We start from the raw sequence: 17091 nt of genomic DNA on the forward strand, positions 1-17091 counted from the left end.
TCCACACATACTTCCACTTCTCTGAGTAAGTGACTTGATGTCAGAGAATCTCACACCAGATTATAACAATAAGACTTTTAAATGTTCAGGATGTTTATGTTTAAAGCATTAGACTGATAAGAAATCTGATCTATTTCTTGTATGACTAGATGTAGTCACTGCAGTGGAAACCAACATACGAAAGAGCAGGCGGCACATTTTCATCCTGACCCCTCAGATCACTCACAATAAGGAGTTTGCCTACGAGCAGGAGGTTGCCCTGCACTGTGCCCTCATCCAGAACGACGCCAAGGTGATACTTATTGAGATGGAGGCTCTGAGCGAGCTGGACATGCTGCAGGCTGAGGCGCTTCAGGACTCCCTCCAGCATCTTATGAAAGTACAGGGGACCATCAAGTGGAGGGAGGACCACATTGCCAATAAAAGGTCCCTGAATTCTAAATTCTGGAAGCACGTGAGGTACCAAATGCCTGTGCCAAGCAAAATTCCCAGAAAGGCCTCTAGTTTGACTCCCTTGGCTGCCCAGAAGCAATAGTGCCTGCTGTGATGTGCAAAGGCATCTGAGTTTGAAGCTTTCCTGACTTCTCCTAGCTGGCTTATGCCCCTGCACTGAAGTGTGAGGAGCAGGAATATTAAAGGGATTCAGGCCTCAGGTTTCATCTGGTAACTTTCCTTCCATTTCCCTGCTTCTGGGTGGATGCAAAATGGCCAGAAATTTTTCTCCTCAATCCTCCACCATCCTCCAGCCACCATTTTCTTCCCTTTTCCCTTTTGCTTGCCTGTCTTCACTGTGGTGTGGGATGTTTTCACTACTCTTTTTTCCTCTCTCTCTGTCTTGCTTTGTTTCTCCTCATTCTTGTCAATAATCTGAATAGCAAACTAATCATTCGAGAGTAGATTTTCACGTCACTTGAAGAACATTCTGATTCCCTCAGGCAGAATGTCAGTTGTAAATCTTGTTCCCAACATGCCAGATTTTCTTTATTTTCTATATATATATATAATATTTTATATATAATATTATATATAATATTTTATATATAATTTTATATATAAAATATTATATATAATATTATATATAATATTTTCTATATAAAATGTGTATATAATTATATATAATTATATAAAATATAATATAGAATATCTAATAATGTATAATATATAACATATAAAAATAATATTATTTAATATATAATATTTTATATATAATATTTTTATATATAATATAATATATATTTTATATATAATTATTAATTATATAATTAATATATAATATATATTTTATACATAATTATTAATTATATATAATTAATATATAATATATCTTATACATAATTATCAATTATATATAATTAATATATAATATATATTTTATACATAATTATTAATTATATATAATTAATATATAATATATCTTATACATAATATATATAAATATATTATATATAATATATATTATATATAATATTATATATAATATATATTATATATATAAAATTTATATATAATATTATATATAATATTATATATTTTATATACAATATGATATATAATATAATTTATATATTATATATATTTATATATAATTATTATATAAATTATATAAATATAAATTATATATTTATATATAATTATTATATAAATCATTATATAATTATTATAATTATAATATATAATATAATATAATATTATATATAATATATAGTATTCTATATAAATAATATAACATATATTTTATATAGAATATTATATATAATATAATATATATTTTATATAGAATATTATATATAATATAATATATATTTTATATAGAATATTTTATATATATAATATTATATATATGTATTTGAGACAGAGTCTCCTATGAACATACTTGTGGACTTATGATTTTATTTTGACACTTAAGAGTGGTCATAGGGTAGGTGCATATTTAACTTTCAGAGAAACTTATACATTGTTTCGCAAACTAATTGTACTACTTTACATTCCCACCAGTTGTGTATGAGAGCTCTGCTGCTTCATTGCCTCACCAATAATTGGTGTTGTCAAGTTTCTTTATATTTTAACAATTTTCACAGGTGTTAGATGAAGATCACCATGGTCTTAACTTGAAGTTCCCCGACTCATGATGATGAGCCCTTTTCATGTTTTCATTGGCCATTCGTATATATTTTTTAGTGAAGGCAAAATATTTTGCCTTATTTAAATTGTATTTCTTTTTATATTGTTGATGTGTAGGAATTATTTATGTATTGTGGATGCAAGTTCTTTGCCAGATAGATGTAAAGTGAGAATATTTCCAGGGTTATCTATTCATTTTTAAGTGATGTCTTTGTTTAGTAGACATTTTTAATTTTGGTGATGTCCAATTAATCAATGTGTCCCAAATGGCTATTTTTTTTTGTGTCCTAGCTAAGAATTTTTTTTTTTTGCCTGTCCAAGAGCATGATTTATTTATTTATTTTTTGCCTGTTCAAGGGTCTTCTCTGTATTTTTATGAAATATTTACGGTTCTAGCTTTTATGTTTAGGTCCATGGTCTATTGTGAATTGATACTTGTATATAGAACAAGGCAAGGACAAAGTTCTTTTTTCTGCTGCTGCTTCTTCTGTAGAGGTACCCAGCTGTTCCAGCAATGTTTGTGAAAGACTGTTTTTTCCCCACTGAATTGACATGGTGCTTTGTTAAAAAAATCAATTGACTAGATATGTGTGGATCTATTAGTCTACTTTCTATTTTGTATGTTTGTATGTTTCTGTGAATATCACATTGCCATAATTACTATTGCCTTATTATAAATCCTCAAGTCAGTATAAGTCTCTCAACTTTGTTCATCTTTGTCAAGATTGCCCAGACAGGCCGGGCAGGTGGCTCACCCCTGTAATTTCAACACTTTGGGAGGCTGAAATGGGTGGATCACCTGAGGTCGAGAGTTCAAAACCAGCCTGACCAACACGGAGAAACCCTGTCTCTACTAAAAATACAAAAGTAGCCAGGCGTGATAGTGCATGCCTGTAATCCCAGCTACTCGGGCGGCTGAGGCAGGAGAATCGCTTGAACCCGGGAGGCGGAGGTTGCAGTGAGCCGAGATCGCGTCATTGCACTCACTCCAGCCTGGGCAAGAAGAGCAAAACTCCGTCTCTGTCCGGACAATCCTAGATTATTTGCATTTTCATATGAATTTTAGAAACAGCTTCTTAATTTCTTTGAAAAATTTTCCTGGGATTTGGATTGAATTGTATTAAATATATAGATTCTGTAATATATAGAGTCTAAAAATATACAGTGTGGAGAATAGATGTCTTAAGTCTTCCAATCCGTAAACGTGGTATATCCCTTTATTACTTAGATGTTTCATCTCTGTTAGCAATATTTTGTAGTTTTCACAGGAGATATCTCATATATTATCCAATGAATTTATACTTTGGTATTTTGATTTTTAAATGCTATGGTAAATGGCATTTTTAACAAACTTCACTTTTCAAGTTTCCATCTCTAATATATAGAATTGCTATTGATTTTTATATTCCATGATCTTGATAAACTTAATATTTCCAGTAGTTTTTTTTTTTGTAGATTTCAAAAGTTGGTCTACATATAATTATGCTCTCTGTTAAAACCAGTAGTTTTAATTCTTTCTTCTCAATCTTTATGCTTTCTAATTTTATTTTTATTTCTTCACTTGTTGCAAAGCAGTTGTCCCAGGTGGGAGCCAAAATCCTTATCTCATTACTAATCTTAGGAAAAAGTAAAATGTTTCACTATTATGAGGTCACCTGTAGGTTTCTTATAGATGTTCTTTATCAGATTAAGAAAGATCATTTCTACTCTCGGTTTTCTGATCGTTATTAATTCAGAAAGGGTGTTGAATTTTGCCAGATGCTTTTATTTGCATTTATTGAGATAATTACATATTTTTATTTATTATGTGGTGAATTATCTAAATTGGGTAAAAAGAATTAAAATCATTGTCCAATTGAACATTTTGCCTGTCGGCTATGGGTTTCCCTTTTCCTTTGGTTAAATAACAGTTCTGCCACAAAATAAAAATCTAGAAACACACATTCCCCTTTGGCCTCCTTAAAAAAAATTAAAACTTCAACAATTGCACCCCTCTCTATTACTTCCCTATAGTGAACTCCCATCCTTCTGGGAAAGCAAAAAGCCTGGGGCGCATTTGTGTACTTGAGACGCGGAGCCCCTCTCACCTTCGGCATCCCCCGGGGACCCCTCTTCCACCCTCAGCCCTCCCCTCCTCTTCCTCTGAAGAGCCGGGCGGCCGCTGCGGCCAGCGGTCCTCCCTCCTGGCATCCTCTGCTGTGAACCGCGGCCTGCAGGGTGCTTGCGAGCGGCCCGGGCGCGCCCCCTTCCGGCCCCGCAGGTCACCCGGCTACAGCCCGGGTTTTCCCGGGACCCGCGCCGCGCGGCTGGGCAGGAAGCGCCAGACGCCTGGGGCCCACGCCGTCCGCGGGAAAAGGGCAAGGCGCTGGGTTTTCCAGCAGCAACCTTTGGACCCCGCGATCCAGTAGCTCCGGTAACTCCACGCGGGGCGTCTGGGTGGAGGAGCCGGTCCTGGAGCACGGCTGCGAGGAGCACCCGGACCGGAGGGTCCCCAGACCGGGACCTCCGAGTCAGGGAGGATTCTACGCCAGGGAGCGCCCCAGACTGAGAGCGCCCCAGACCGCTACACTCCCGGACCCGGAGCTTCGCCCGACCGCGGGCAGTGCCCACCTGCAGCCTCCACCGGCCGGGGTTAGCAGCCAGGAGCTGCCAGACGCCTGACATTCTTCTTTCTGTTCCTACTTTTTTTCCTTCTTCTTCTTTTTTTTTTTTTTTGTAGCCCTCTCTGGGTGCCTTATCTCTTTAATCACACCTCTCTTTCACTTTCCACGGTAGTCAGGAGGCGGAGATCGCTGCTTCTCACCTACTTTCTGAACTTGGCCTCCGCAGTCGCGACCTGGCGTGAAGGAGGAGCTGCCGCCCCCGCCCCAGCCTCGGGGACGCCTCTCTGAAGGTAAGGGTGGGCTCCGCTGCCACCCGCATCCCCTCCCCACCCCCCAGAGGAAGGGAAGACCACCATCCGGGGAGGGATTCTCAAAACAAGATCAATTAAGAGAGAGAGAGAGATAGTGTGTGTGTGAATACGTGTGAATAATTGATGAGACAGCATCCTGTCTTTCTCTGAAAGTATAGTTTTAGAAATTAAGACATCCCCAATTATTTTCTGGAGAGGTGAGAACGACTGAAATAAATGATAACAATAGTTGTCATTTTTTAAGTGCTTACTGTGTGCCTGACACTGTAGAAAATTTTTAGATATCTTATTTTCACTTAATCCTCCTAAGGGCCACATGAAATAGGAACTATTATTATGCTTTAATAAAAGGGAGGAGGAATTCCGTCATTTACCCAAGAGTATCCAGCTACTAAGTAGTAGATCCCAGATCCACACCTACAGTTTTTCTGATTCCAGAGCCTTTGTCTTTTTTCTGCCCAGCCTTGGGAAGTTAAAATGCCCAGCACCTTGCATCGCAGTTATCAGACAAATTAATGAGGTGTCAATTGCAGCCAGATACAGAGATCCAAGATTATTGTATTCATTTCACTGACTTCCCTTGCTTCATTCTCAAGACCCTTTGCAAATACTGATTTTGTGTCATACACAGTGCTGCTATTGGGAGCACACCTCTCAACCTCAGGGCCTTGGATGGGCTAGGAGGGGTAAATTTGGGGAATTGGGTTTGTGCAGGTTCTGGGGACAGTGTTTTCCCTCTCCCTGCACAAATATACATCCAAAGGCTGAGAACTAAGGCTAAGGCCTAGGAATGTGGATTGAAAAGGCAGGGTCTAAATCCCAGCACTTGGGAGGCTGAGGTGGGCGGATCATGAGGTCAGGAGATCGAGACCATCCTGGCTAACATGGTGAAACCCCGTCTCTACTAAAAATACAGAAAATTAGCCAGGCATGGTGGCATGCATCTGTAATCCCAGCTACTCGGGAGGCTGAGGCAGGAGAATCCCTTGAACCTGGGAGGCAGAGGTTGCAGTGAGCAGAGATTGTGCCACTGCACTCCAGCCTGGGCGACAGAGTGAGACTCTATCTCAAAAAAAAAAAAGAAAAAAAAGAAAAGGCAGGGTCCCTGCCTTCAGGGACCTCACCAGAGAGTGGGAGCTAGTCCAGGAGTGATGGAAACACCTGCAGAGTGATGGAGACGGGCTTGGACATAGGCATGTGCCATTTGGGGCTGTTGCAGTTGGAGAGCTTCCTTGAGAAGGCAAATACTGAGCCAAGTTGAAAGGACTCTAGGGACCTGGCATCTGGGATAAGTGGGGAGGGTGGCCCAGGTAGCACAGGCATAGGCAGATTTGGGGGGAAGCATAAGGCTAACAACAGACACTTGTGTGACAAGGACTATGAGGTGGCATTGATTTTCTTGGCCTTACAGATGAGAAGCCAGATTCCACACAAATTATTTTGTTTGTTAGAGTTTAAGCGTGTGTGTGTGTGTGTATGTTATGCCCCAAGATCATTTTCTCCTCTTTGCATTTGGTTGTTTTATCATCTCACAGGCTGAGTAAAACGACTATGCATGGAACACTGTAGAAGAAAAATTATATTAAAAAAAAACTGGTGTTATGATTTTCATCCAGGCATTTTGTCTCAGGAGTTGCTCGATTGTATGTGTTGCTAATGAGTGATTTATATTGAGGCATCTACATTGATTCATGTGTGTCCTTGTGAATAGCTGTAATCTGAGGCTGGCCATTTCACTTCCTCAAATCTCAGGTTCCTCATTAGAAAGAGCTTTGAAATGGCTCTTTCCCTGTACATTATGTGTTTCTGTGAATTACTTTTAGAGAAAGGTCAGTTTCTCAGGGTGGGACCCATAAACAAGGGCAACTGGGCAGAGCCAGGGGTTCAGGTGACTGTTTGGACCCTCTGGAAGGGCTTTTTACTGTGCTGCCTTGGGAGACAGAGTGGTCAGCTTGGAACTGACCTTAAGCCTAGGTCACCCAATTTTTGAAGGAAACTTTTTTTTTTCATTTAGAGAAAACTTCATGCCTTTGGGTGATTAGGTAAGTTTGTGACTATTCGTTATGTGTGTGTACACACACGTACGTACATATGTACATGCACAAATATTTAATATGTCTTAGACACACCAAATATATGCATTTAAGATGTATTAAATGTACTTTCCTGAGAATACAAATAAGTGCCCTACGTCGGCGGCTCTCTTCCTGACTGTATGTTAGAGTCACCTGCGGAGTTCTGAGGACTCAAGATGCCCAGTCTGTCCTCCAGACCACTGGGTGGAGCCCGGGCATCATTATTTTTTTCCAAACTTGGGTGAGAGCTGGTGGCCTAGACTTCACATTAGTTGCTAAAACATACTTTCCAAGATATCATGCGTTAAAAAGCATTTCAAAAGTAGATTGTGCAGATGTGCCAATGGATCAGATGATCACCTAGATTCAAAATTATGTATATTTTATGGATGTAATTCATTCAATAATTCAGCAAATAACAAAGAAACAAGCAGACATAAAGTGAAAATATGACAGTTAGTGATAAGTGCTATGAATAGAAAAACTAAACATGGGAGGGTAGAGGAACATTGGTGTGTGTGAGCATGTGTGTGTGTGTGCGTGTGTGTGCATGTGCATGTTTGCATTTGGAAAAGCATGCTGTGCTAGACTTGCAGTAGAGTGCTCAGGGAGGACCTGTACATTATAAGCTAGTGTCAGCAAACCGTAGGGGAAATACAGGATTATTTAATTAACAATAGAGAAGTAATTAGTAGGTATTTGAGGAAAGTAAGTTTAGTTACTCCCTATCTTCATGTCAATCAAGAAAATTAATTGTTGGTGGATGAAAAAAGTTAAATATAAAAACAAAACAAAACAATACTGAGCCATAAAAATGAAGAAACTATGTAAGCATCTATTTGACCACCAACAGGAAAGGATATTCTACACTTAAAAGCAATGAAAACATCTCAAAGCAAAAGAATGATCGGTTTGACTACATCAATATAAAATTTGTCATATATTAGCATAACAAAAGAGAGAAAGTAAACAACAAGTTAGACAAACATCTGAGAACTGGACAAAAGACATAAAGAGATGGTTCATAAACATGAAAATAAAATGGCTGATAATAAGTGATTAATATTTGCCTCATTTATACCCAAAGAAATGCAAATTCAGAAAACAATGAGATACCATTTTTCCATTTTGGCTGTCTAATTACATTTTAAAAGTAAAGCTGCTCAGTGTGCTTCTGGGTGTGGTCGATAGATGCTGTCTTGTGCTATTGAGTGAGAGAATATGAATATTGCAACACTTCTGGAATGCAGTTTGTCAGCATGCATCTGTCAGGTTTCAATGTAGTCTTCAACTCAATCACTGTACTGCCATCGAGTAACATCCAGGAAATAATAAGAAATGTAGACAAATAATAATAGCTAACATTTAAGCGGTATTACCATTCACCAGACACTTGCAATAGTAACTCATTTAACTTTCACATCAGTTCCAGGAGATGGTATTATTATCCCCTTCTATAGATAAGAAAATTGAGGCACAGAACAGGCAAGTCAGTTGCCCACAGTCGGTTAGCTGGTTGAAGGTAGAATGGAGATTCAAATCCACCCAGGCTGCCACCTGAGCCCATCCTGCAAAAAAACTGAGCCATCCTGGCTTACCTGTGAAGATGGTCATGTGATTATCTCATAATACATCTGGTAAATGATAATATATCCACATGAAGTAATATTAGGTGGCAATTAGAATGGTTTTAACAAAGAGTTTTGTGACACAGGAAAAATGCTCATTATGTAATATTAGGTGGAAATGCAGGATATGCAATCTTTTAAACATCTTTTATTTTTTGAGAAGGAGTCTTGCTCTGTCACCTAGGCTGGAGTGCAGTGATGAGATCTCGGCTCACTGCAAGCTCCGCCTCCCGGATTCACACCATTCTCCTGCCTCATCCTCCTTAGTAGCTGGGACTACAGGTGCCTGCCAACGTGCCTGGCTAATTTTTTGTATTTTTAGTAGAGACGGGGTTTCACCATGTTAGTCAGGATGGTCTCAGTCTCCTGACCTCATGATCCGCCCATCTCGGCCTCCCAAAGTGCTGGGATTACAGGCATGAGCCACTGTGCCCGGCCAAACATCTTAATTATGTGACAACATTTATAAAAAGTACAAGAAAACATGTTAAAATATTATACATGTTGAGATTATTTTCTTCTTTCAGTCTTCATTTTGTAAATCTCCTACATTGAGTGTAAATTGCTTTGGAAATCAGAAAAACTTTAAAAAGAAAGAAACTTAAGAGTTACGGAAAAGCAAAAATATTGATGTTAAACATAACAATTAAAAACCCTTAAAATTCTTACATGTGAGACATTTAATATTTATATTCTTCTATGCCTATTTTATTAATACTTGCTAGAGTATCTGTTACATTTATCAGAATATCTCTTTTTCTGGAAATGAATTCATTATTTAATATAACCTTAATCTGTTAAATTCACACATAAAACTTAAGTACATTAAAAATTTTACATACACACATCCACATTTGCAGAATGGTGTGCAAATACCAGCTAATTTTTGTATACTGAGATCTTAATATGTTTCATATTGAAACTCAGAGTTAACTTGTCAGTTTGCTGAGCCATCTCCTGATAACTTTGTCTCTTGGTAGATATTGAATATTTTTTTTAAAGTGGTGCTTTTTATAAGGTTACATCAGTCTTAATCAGAGTGACATAAAGGAAATAACATTTTTTATTCTATCCAAGATAAAAGAATAGGCAGAGTTAATAATAAAATGTGTGTGGAGGTAGTGGGGGAGGTTTCAAACCATAGACCCAGTCTAATTTGATTATGCACAGTTGGTACTTTCCATTCATACTTGTTTCTTTGGCCTTTACATTATTGATTATTATCTCTTGGAAATTCCACCAAATATTTGGTGATTTTTCCATAAGGATGTATGTGAATGGTTTGGCAGCTTAGCCATTAAGCTTTATCCTGGATTCAGGCATTGACAACTCTGTTTTTAGGATGGAAGATGAGTAGTTGTTGGTGAGAGGGGCATTATTCTGAGCTGAGAAGCTGCCATGCACTCAGGAAGTCTCCATAAGCCTTAGATGGTTTAATCACTCAATAATTCCAGAAACAGGCCTTCTTATCATCTCCATTTTGGTAATGACCAAATAGGCTCTAAGACTTGCTCAAGTTTTGCACAGCTTGTCAGGACTCAAACTGGAGTGGCAGCCCAGGTTTGTGTGTTTCTGAAACCAGACTCTGCCATCAGGCTGTGCTCCCTGCACTCAGGATGGTAAACAAGGGATATGGTGTTGTTTATGCAGTATTTAGACTCTGAATGGTCTCCACTGTGGGGGATCCTTCCTCCACTGGGCTCAAAGTTGTAATCAGAACTCCGAATGCTAGGTTGCAGTAGGATCAAAGTTCAATGCAGATCTTAGTTCCACTGGGACACAGTCAATGTAAAGGAGGGGTCTGGAGTGTAGGAGACTGTCACTTCATCTCTCCATTTCCCTAAAGTAAACTCATATGGGCAGCCACAGACACACGCGAACACATGCATACACACCTATGCCTCAGTGACACATGTTAGTGAGTGCTGGCCATGTGCTAGGCATCGTGCTGGATTTTAGTGATACAGTGAAGAGCAAAATAGACTTAGTGCCTAGAATTATGAAAGAATTATGAAACCTACGTTCTGAAGGAGGAAGATGGAGTTTTAAAAATTCAACCCTAAATGAAGATCTCATTACAATTCAGGAATGTTTTGATGTGAAAACACACACACACACTCTGTTACATGGGCAGAACTGCCATACATAGCTCAGCATGTCACAGATTGTTTATTCATAGAATGGTAATATTTGTAGCAGTACTATTGTTCTGAACTTTGGCCTTGGAAGCAGGATTTAGTAGACCAGGCCTGAAATTCTTCAGACTCTGTTGTATCAGAGAAATAAATTATTAGGGATTTCTTCCAGAAGAAAAACTTCATTGCCTTGAAATTTTATTAATTTTATATGGCTGAAAGTTCTGAGAATTGGTTACTATATTAAGGATTATAAAAATCTTCTAGGTTGTTTTTTTAAAAATCTGTGTGCCAGAAGATTTTTAAACCTTCATAAGATAGGCACACTTTTGTTTGAAAGCTTTGGCTGAATCTGTTTTATTCTGTTTTCCAGAGAAGCCATTTGAAGCAGAATCCAAACCATGAATTGTAGAGAATTACCCTTGACCCTTTGGGTGCTTATATCTGTAAGCACTGCAGGTAAGTGATTATACATACTCTCAAACATATTTCATGAGTAATTGAGGAAGAATGTCAAAGTTTTTTTTTTTATGTGGTGGCTACTGAAGATGCTGAATTTATTCAGAAAAGAAAAGATTCTGCAGTCTGAGTTCATGTAGTGAGAGCAGAGTGAAAAACTTGCATCTTGAAATAAATTACATTTGTCTGAGGTGAAAATTTATTTCATGTTATTTGAAACTGAGGAGGTGGCAGCCATCTTTATTATTGGGTTTTAGGAAGTTTGAAACACACTTTCTCCTTCCTGAGAGGGAGGCAAAGATTCATCTCATTATTTAGGTAATAATGAGAAAAGTAAACGACAAATATATTAGACAGCTTAAAAAAATTAGAGTGAGACAGAATATACAAAAAAGAGACTGGCTAGACCAAGGAGCTCAAGTAGGCTTCATAGTAGATGTCAAATGCCAATTTTAATTTATTAGCAGTGATTGCCTAGAGTTTTTTTTTTTTATTTGAGAAGGATTCTGAGACTTCATTCTTTAGCGTTCCATGATTGAATAGCAAGGCATTCCTTAGGCTTTGGGGGAGAAAGTGGGAGCACAAATATTAATTTGCCTTGATCTATTATCTAGGAGAGGGAAACACATGGGCTCATTTCCCTACTTTGATAATTACTGCTGAAGAGATAGCTGAATTAAGCTTTTGGTACTTTCAAATAACACAGGTCCAATCTCAGGGTATATTTACTTACGTGAATCCATTTATTATTGAGATCCCTGCAATGGAACCCTACCCAGATGATAAAAGAATGAGGTAGATCTTCATTTTTTTATATGTAATGATCTGTCAAACAAGTGAGTGGAAAAGCAAGGTACAGGAAAATGTGTCATGAGTTCCATGTCCTGTGGACATACACTAATAGCCTTACTCCTCATTATAATGAGAGCATGTTTCAGGCACAGAAACAGCCATGCAGCCAGTTGTGCAAAGTTGCCAAGCTCCCAGCTGCCTGCCCTGAAGAGCACTTTTCATGAATGTTTCACTCTAGGGAGACATGACAATGTTCTACATGTAGGATTCACTGAACCTAGTTGAGTTTAAATGACAAAATGCTATGATTGTCCAAACTCAAGACAGTTTCAAACACAGACTTTATTCCAAAGGGCATTGGTTGTTGGCACTGCTGGGTTCTTATACTGTGTTTATGGAACAATAGGAGTGCCTATTTTGGCACTTGGAACTCCACAAACCTTGAATTCCACTTATTTATCCCATCAAGGACCATTTCCAACAAGCATTATGGTAATCAACAAAGCCTCTAATGGTAAACCATGATTAGATATCCAAAGCTTCTAGCTGCCTGAGGAGGGGGGTGGTGTGGACTTTCAATTATCAACCTCCCACCTCTGGAGAGTGTGTAATTCACATTAAGTTTCTTCAAATGGTAATACTTCCAGAGAGCACATGTCCATCCAAACACAGTCATATGTGTTTATAGAAGCTTTTTAAGACAAGCGAAAACCTGAAAACCTAGAAATAAGCCAATATCCAACAGACATTTGTTTAATAAACCAAATCCCCAACATGCATCCTTTTATAAAATGGATAAATTGCGAAATGGTAACACGATTAGATACTACATTACAATGAGAAAAGAACACATCACTGCTACAGCATGAATGCATTTATAACAATCATGTCAAAATAACCCAGACATAAAGGAGCACATATTGTATAGCCTATGCATTTTATTATATTAACTCTAAAACAGGAAAATAAATGAACTGTTAATGACTCACCAGGGTTTTGCATGTCAATTGAAGCTGACACCCACATATACACATGTATCACACCTTCTATGTTGAAGTATTAGTATAAAATAGAGATTGTATTGCAACCAGAAAACATGAAGTTGGTGCTCCTTAACTCTTGTGTTTTGTGGTAGATTCGACATCCATGTTTTCAAAGAATGTGTATTAGTCCATTCTCATGCTGCTAATAAAGGCATACTTGAGACTGGGTAATTTATAAAGGAAAGAGACTTTATTGATTCACAGTTCTGTATGGCTGGGGAGGCCTCAGGAAGCTTACAATCATAGTGGAAGGGGAAGAAAACATATCCTTCTTCACATGGTGGCATCAAGGAGAAGGCTGAGCAAAAAGGGGAAAAGCCCCTTATAAAAACATCAGATCTTATGAGAACTCACTCACTATCAGGAGCACAGCATGAGGGTAATCACCCCCATGATTAAATTACCTTCCACCAGGTCCCTCCTATGACACATGGGGCTTATGGGAACTACAATTCAAGATGATTTGGGTTGGGGTATAGCCAAATCATATCATTCCACCCCTGGCCTCTCCCAAATCTCATGCTCTCACATTTCAAAACACAATCATGCCCTTCTAACAGTCCCCCAAAGTCTTCACTCATTCCAGCATTAACTCTAAAATCCAAGTCCAAAGTCTCATCTGAGACAAGGAAGGTCCCTTCCTATGAGTCAGTAAATTCAAGAGCAATTTAGTTACTTCCTAGATACAATGGGAGTACAGGCATTGAGTAAATACACCCCTTCCAAATGGGAGAAATTGACTAAAACAAAGGGGCTACTGGCCCCATGCAAGTTCTAAATTTAATAGGGCAGTCATTAAACCTTAAAGTTCCAAAATAGTCTCCTTCAACTCCATGTCTCATATCCAGGTCACGCTGCTGCAAGAGGTAGGATCCCATGGCCTTGGGCAGCTATGCTCCTGTGGCTTTGCAGGGTACATCTTTCTTCCTGGTTTCTTTCATGGGCTGGTGTTGAGTTTCTGGGCTTTTTCAAGTGCATGGTGCAAGCTGTCAGTGAATCTATCATCCTGGGGCCTGGAGGATGGTGGCTTTCTTCTCTTAACTCCACTAGCTGTACTCCAGTGGGGACTCTGTATGGGAGCCCCAACACCACATTTCCCTTCCACACTACCCTAGCAAAGATTCTACATGAGGGTTCCACCCCTGCAGCAAACTTTTGCCTGGACATCCAGCATTTCCATACATCCTCTGAAACCTAGGCGTAGGTTCCCAAACCTCAATTCTTGACTTTTGTGCACCTGCAGCCTCAACACCATGTGGAAGCTGCCAAGGTTTGGGGCTTGCACCCTCTGAAGCCACAGCCTGACCTGGTATCTTGGCCTGTTTTAGCAATGGCTGGAGGGGTAGGATGCAGGGCACCAAATCCCTAGGCTGCACACAGAAAGGGACCCTGGGCCCATCCCAGGAAATCATTTTTTCCTCTTAGGCCTCTGGGCCTGTGATGGGAGGGTCTCTCATGAAGATCTCTGACATACCCTAGAGGCATTTTTCCCCTTGTCTTGGCAATTAACATTTGAGTCCTCATTTCTTATGCAAATTTCTGCAACCAGCTTTAATTCCATGCCCCCCATTCCCACGAACATGGATTTTTCTCTCCTACCACATTCTCAAGCTGTGAATTTTCCAAACTCTTATGCTCTGTCACCTCTTGAATGATTTGCTCTTTAGAAATTTCTTCTTCCAGATAATCGTCTCTCAAGTTCAAAGTTCCATAGATCTCTAGGACAAGGGCAAAATGCAACTAATCTCTTTGCTAAACATAACAAGATTCACTTTTGCTCCAGCTCCCCAAAAGTTCCTCATCTCCATCTGAGACCACCTCAGCCTGGACTTTATTGTCCATAACATTATCAGCATTTTGGTTAAAGCCATTTAACAAGTCTTTAGGAAGTTCCAAACTTTTCCATATTTTCTTATCTTCTTCAAACTGTTCCAACTGTTCCAAACTGCCCTCCAAACTGTTCCAACCTCTGCCTGTATGCAGTTCCAAAGTCACTTCCACATTTTGTGTATCTTTACAGTAGCACCCCACTTCTGGTACCAATTTACTTTATTAGTCCATTCTCACACTGCTAATAAAGGCATACCTGAGACCAGGTAATATATAAAGGAGAAAGATTTAATGGACTCAGTTCTGCAGGGCTGGGGAGGCCTCAGGAAACTTACAAAAGGGGGAAAAGCCCCTTACAAAACCATCAGATCTCATGAGAACTCACTCACTATCATGAGAACAGCATGAGGGTGACTGCCCCCATGATTAAATTCAAGATGAGGTTTGGATGGGGACACAGCCAAACCATATCAGAATACTTCTATCACATCACTTCCTCTTTATGTTGTGGTTAACAATTTTGAGTTAAAACCAGACTGCTGCTTTGAGAAACAAACCCTGACTATAGAGAAGGCATTCTGTCCATGTCCTAAGGGAAATGTTTCGTTCAGTTTAAATACTCTCATTCTCAAAATGTGGTAAAAGTGCACCCGAGAGTCACTGGAGGGTAGATTATGAGAAAGACCCATTAATGCTGAACTTGAAGTACCACAAGTGCCGAAAGAGGGGAACGAGCACCTATCCTGGGTAGATGATGGTCAGATATATTTCCAAAGCCAGAGAATCTGGGTCAATTGAGAAAGAGGGAAAGTGACAGATATGCAAATTTGGATTGATATTATATTAATGAATTCTTGATTATCCACATGGTGACCTACAGTAATAATAAATGTACACACACTGTAAGTTACATAGGCACACTTTTAACCATCCCCACACTTACCAGGGAATGTTAGATAGGCAGGGTGAATGCAAGGTGAGTGAGATTTCTGATGGTGCAGAGGAAGAACGCCAAGGTTGCTAGATTTCTTGTTTTCTTTTCTACTGAGACTCCTCAGCAGGGTATATTTTGAGGTAGGTATGGCAGCACCGTGACTTCTGTGGCTTTCCCTATGAAGAAGTTGTAATGTGTAATATTTTCTTCTAAGAGGTGACACAATTATCAGTCTTCTAGCTATGGTTGGTTAAGTTCTGATACCTTCCTGTTGGGGAGAAACTGTCAGAAGTTGTGTTTTCATCTATGTTCTGAAAGTGCCTTATCCTTTCTAGTGTTGGAAAGATTGACGCAAAAATAAAGAACCCACAGGAAATTGACACCGAGATTTCTCAGGACTTTCTTGCTAACCTTGCTTCTTCACCTAATGCATTAGGAGACCAAAAAAAGTTACCTTGTCATTTTGGTTTTTGTTTTTATTTATTTTACTTTACTAATCTTTTGAAGAATCTTGTACTTCACGTCCCCACATTACTGTGGTTGAAGGGGAACCTTTCTATCTGAAACATTGCTCGTGTTCACTTGCACATGAGATTGAAACAACCACCAAAAGCTGGTACAAAAGCAGTGGATCACAGGAACATGTGGAGCTGAACCCAAGGAGTTCCTCGAGAATTGCTTTGCATGATTGTGTTTTGGAGTTTTGGCCAGTTGAGTTGAATGACACAGGATCTTACTTTTTCCAAATGAAGTGAGTAACCCTTTCTTTTCAAAATGTATTTCACAGCCCTCTTGTCCTTTGTTCAGCAACTCAAATATGCAGTAATCTGAAAGGTCAGATAATCACCACATCCTTTTCTTTCCTACTCTTCCTATGACATGAAATACATTCTTTGTTATGGAACAGAATAAGTTTATCTCTCTCTGCTTATTTTCTTAGTGACCTTAATGAAAGGAGATTACTTTGATAGGATTTCCTTTTAGGGGATCCTTACCAATGACAAGTGACGATTGCATGAAAGTCAGTTTTAAAATTCAGCTGCTCCTGTTGTCTACATGCCCCCAGTCAAATGAAATCAGCAGCTCGGACTTCACGATAATATTAATGTGTTGCGAATGGGGCAGTGTCAGCTTCCTGGGTGGCATCCCTGGTGGGGAGC

General features: G+C 39.0%; 2 protein-coding genes across 18 annotated transcripts in view, besides 4 other annotated features; both read left to right on the forward strand.

The window, feature by feature from the left end:
• IL1RL1 (interleukin 1 receptor like 1) overlaps positions 1–970 on the forward strand; it is a 40794-nt gene extending 39824 nt beyond the window's left edge. The window contains exon 11 of one of the 2 annotated variants that reach the window (NM_016232.5): positions 150–651. In NM_016232.5, the coding sequence (NP_057316.3) occupies positions 150–535 (386 nt within the window). In that variant the 3' untranslated portion in view covers positions 536–651. Of the gene's footprint in view, positions 1–149 lie in introns of both variants that reach the window. The other variant, XM_006712839.4, reaches the window with a different exon arrangement.
• Positions 4179–4680: an enhancer, noted in NCBI's record as "H3K4me1 hESC enhancer chr2:102972025-102972526 (GRCh37/hg19 assembly coordinates)". NCBI's record gives its function as "activates a minimal SCP1, AML or CMV promoter by ChIP-STARR-seq in naive H9 embryonic stem cells {active_cell/tissue: H9 hESC(naive)}" and the evidence as "EXISTENCE:reporter gene assay evidence [ECO:0000049][PMID:30033119]".
• Positions 4275–4384: a silencer, noted in NCBI's record as "silent region_11830". NCBI's record gives its function as "represses an Ori minimal core promoter by ATAC-STARR-seq in GM12878 lymphoblastoid cells {active_cell/tissue: GM12878}" and the evidence as "EXISTENCE:reporter gene assay evidence [ECO:0000049][PMID:35858748]".
• Positions 4405–4464: a silencer, noted in NCBI's record as "silent region_11831". NCBI's record gives its function as "represses an Ori minimal core promoter by ATAC-STARR-seq in GM12878 lymphoblastoid cells {active_cell/tissue: GM12878}" and the evidence as "EXISTENCE:reporter gene assay evidence [ECO:0000049][PMID:35858748]".
• The window catches only part of IL18R1 (interleukin 18 receptor 1), a 42981-nt gene continuing 30299 nt past the window's right edge, over positions 4410–17091 (forward strand). For 7 of the 16 annotated variants that reach the window (XR_923054.4, NM_003855.5, XM_024453204.2 and 4 more), the window contains exons 1-3: positions 4410–5014; positions 11247–11332; positions 16439–16682. Coding sequence is in view for 9 of the 16 variants with exons in the window: in NM_003855.5 (NP_003846.1) it covers positions 11275–11332; positions 16439–16682 (302 nt within the window). In the remaining 7 variants the exon portion in view is untranslated. Of the gene's footprint in view, positions 5015–11244; positions 11333–16266; positions 16683–17091 lie in introns of those variants that run through there. The other 9 variants (XM_024453202.2, XM_047446167.1, NM_001371421.1 and 6 more) reach the window with 5 other exon arrangements.
• Positions 16359–16408: an enhancer, noted in NCBI's record as "active region_16306". NCBI's record gives its function as "activates an Ori minimal core promoter by ATAC-STARR-seq in GM12878 lymphoblastoid cells {active_cell/tissue: GM12878}" and the evidence as "EXISTENCE:reporter gene assay evidence [ECO:0000049][PMID:35858748]".

Source organism: Homo sapiens, chromosome 2 (assembly GCF_000001405.40).
Source record: "Homo sapiens chromosome 2, GRCh38.p14 Primary Assembly".
In the NCBI taxonomy this organism is placed as follows: domain Eukaryota; kingdom Metazoa; phylum Chordata; class Mammalia; order Primates; family Hominidae; genus Homo; species Homo sapiens.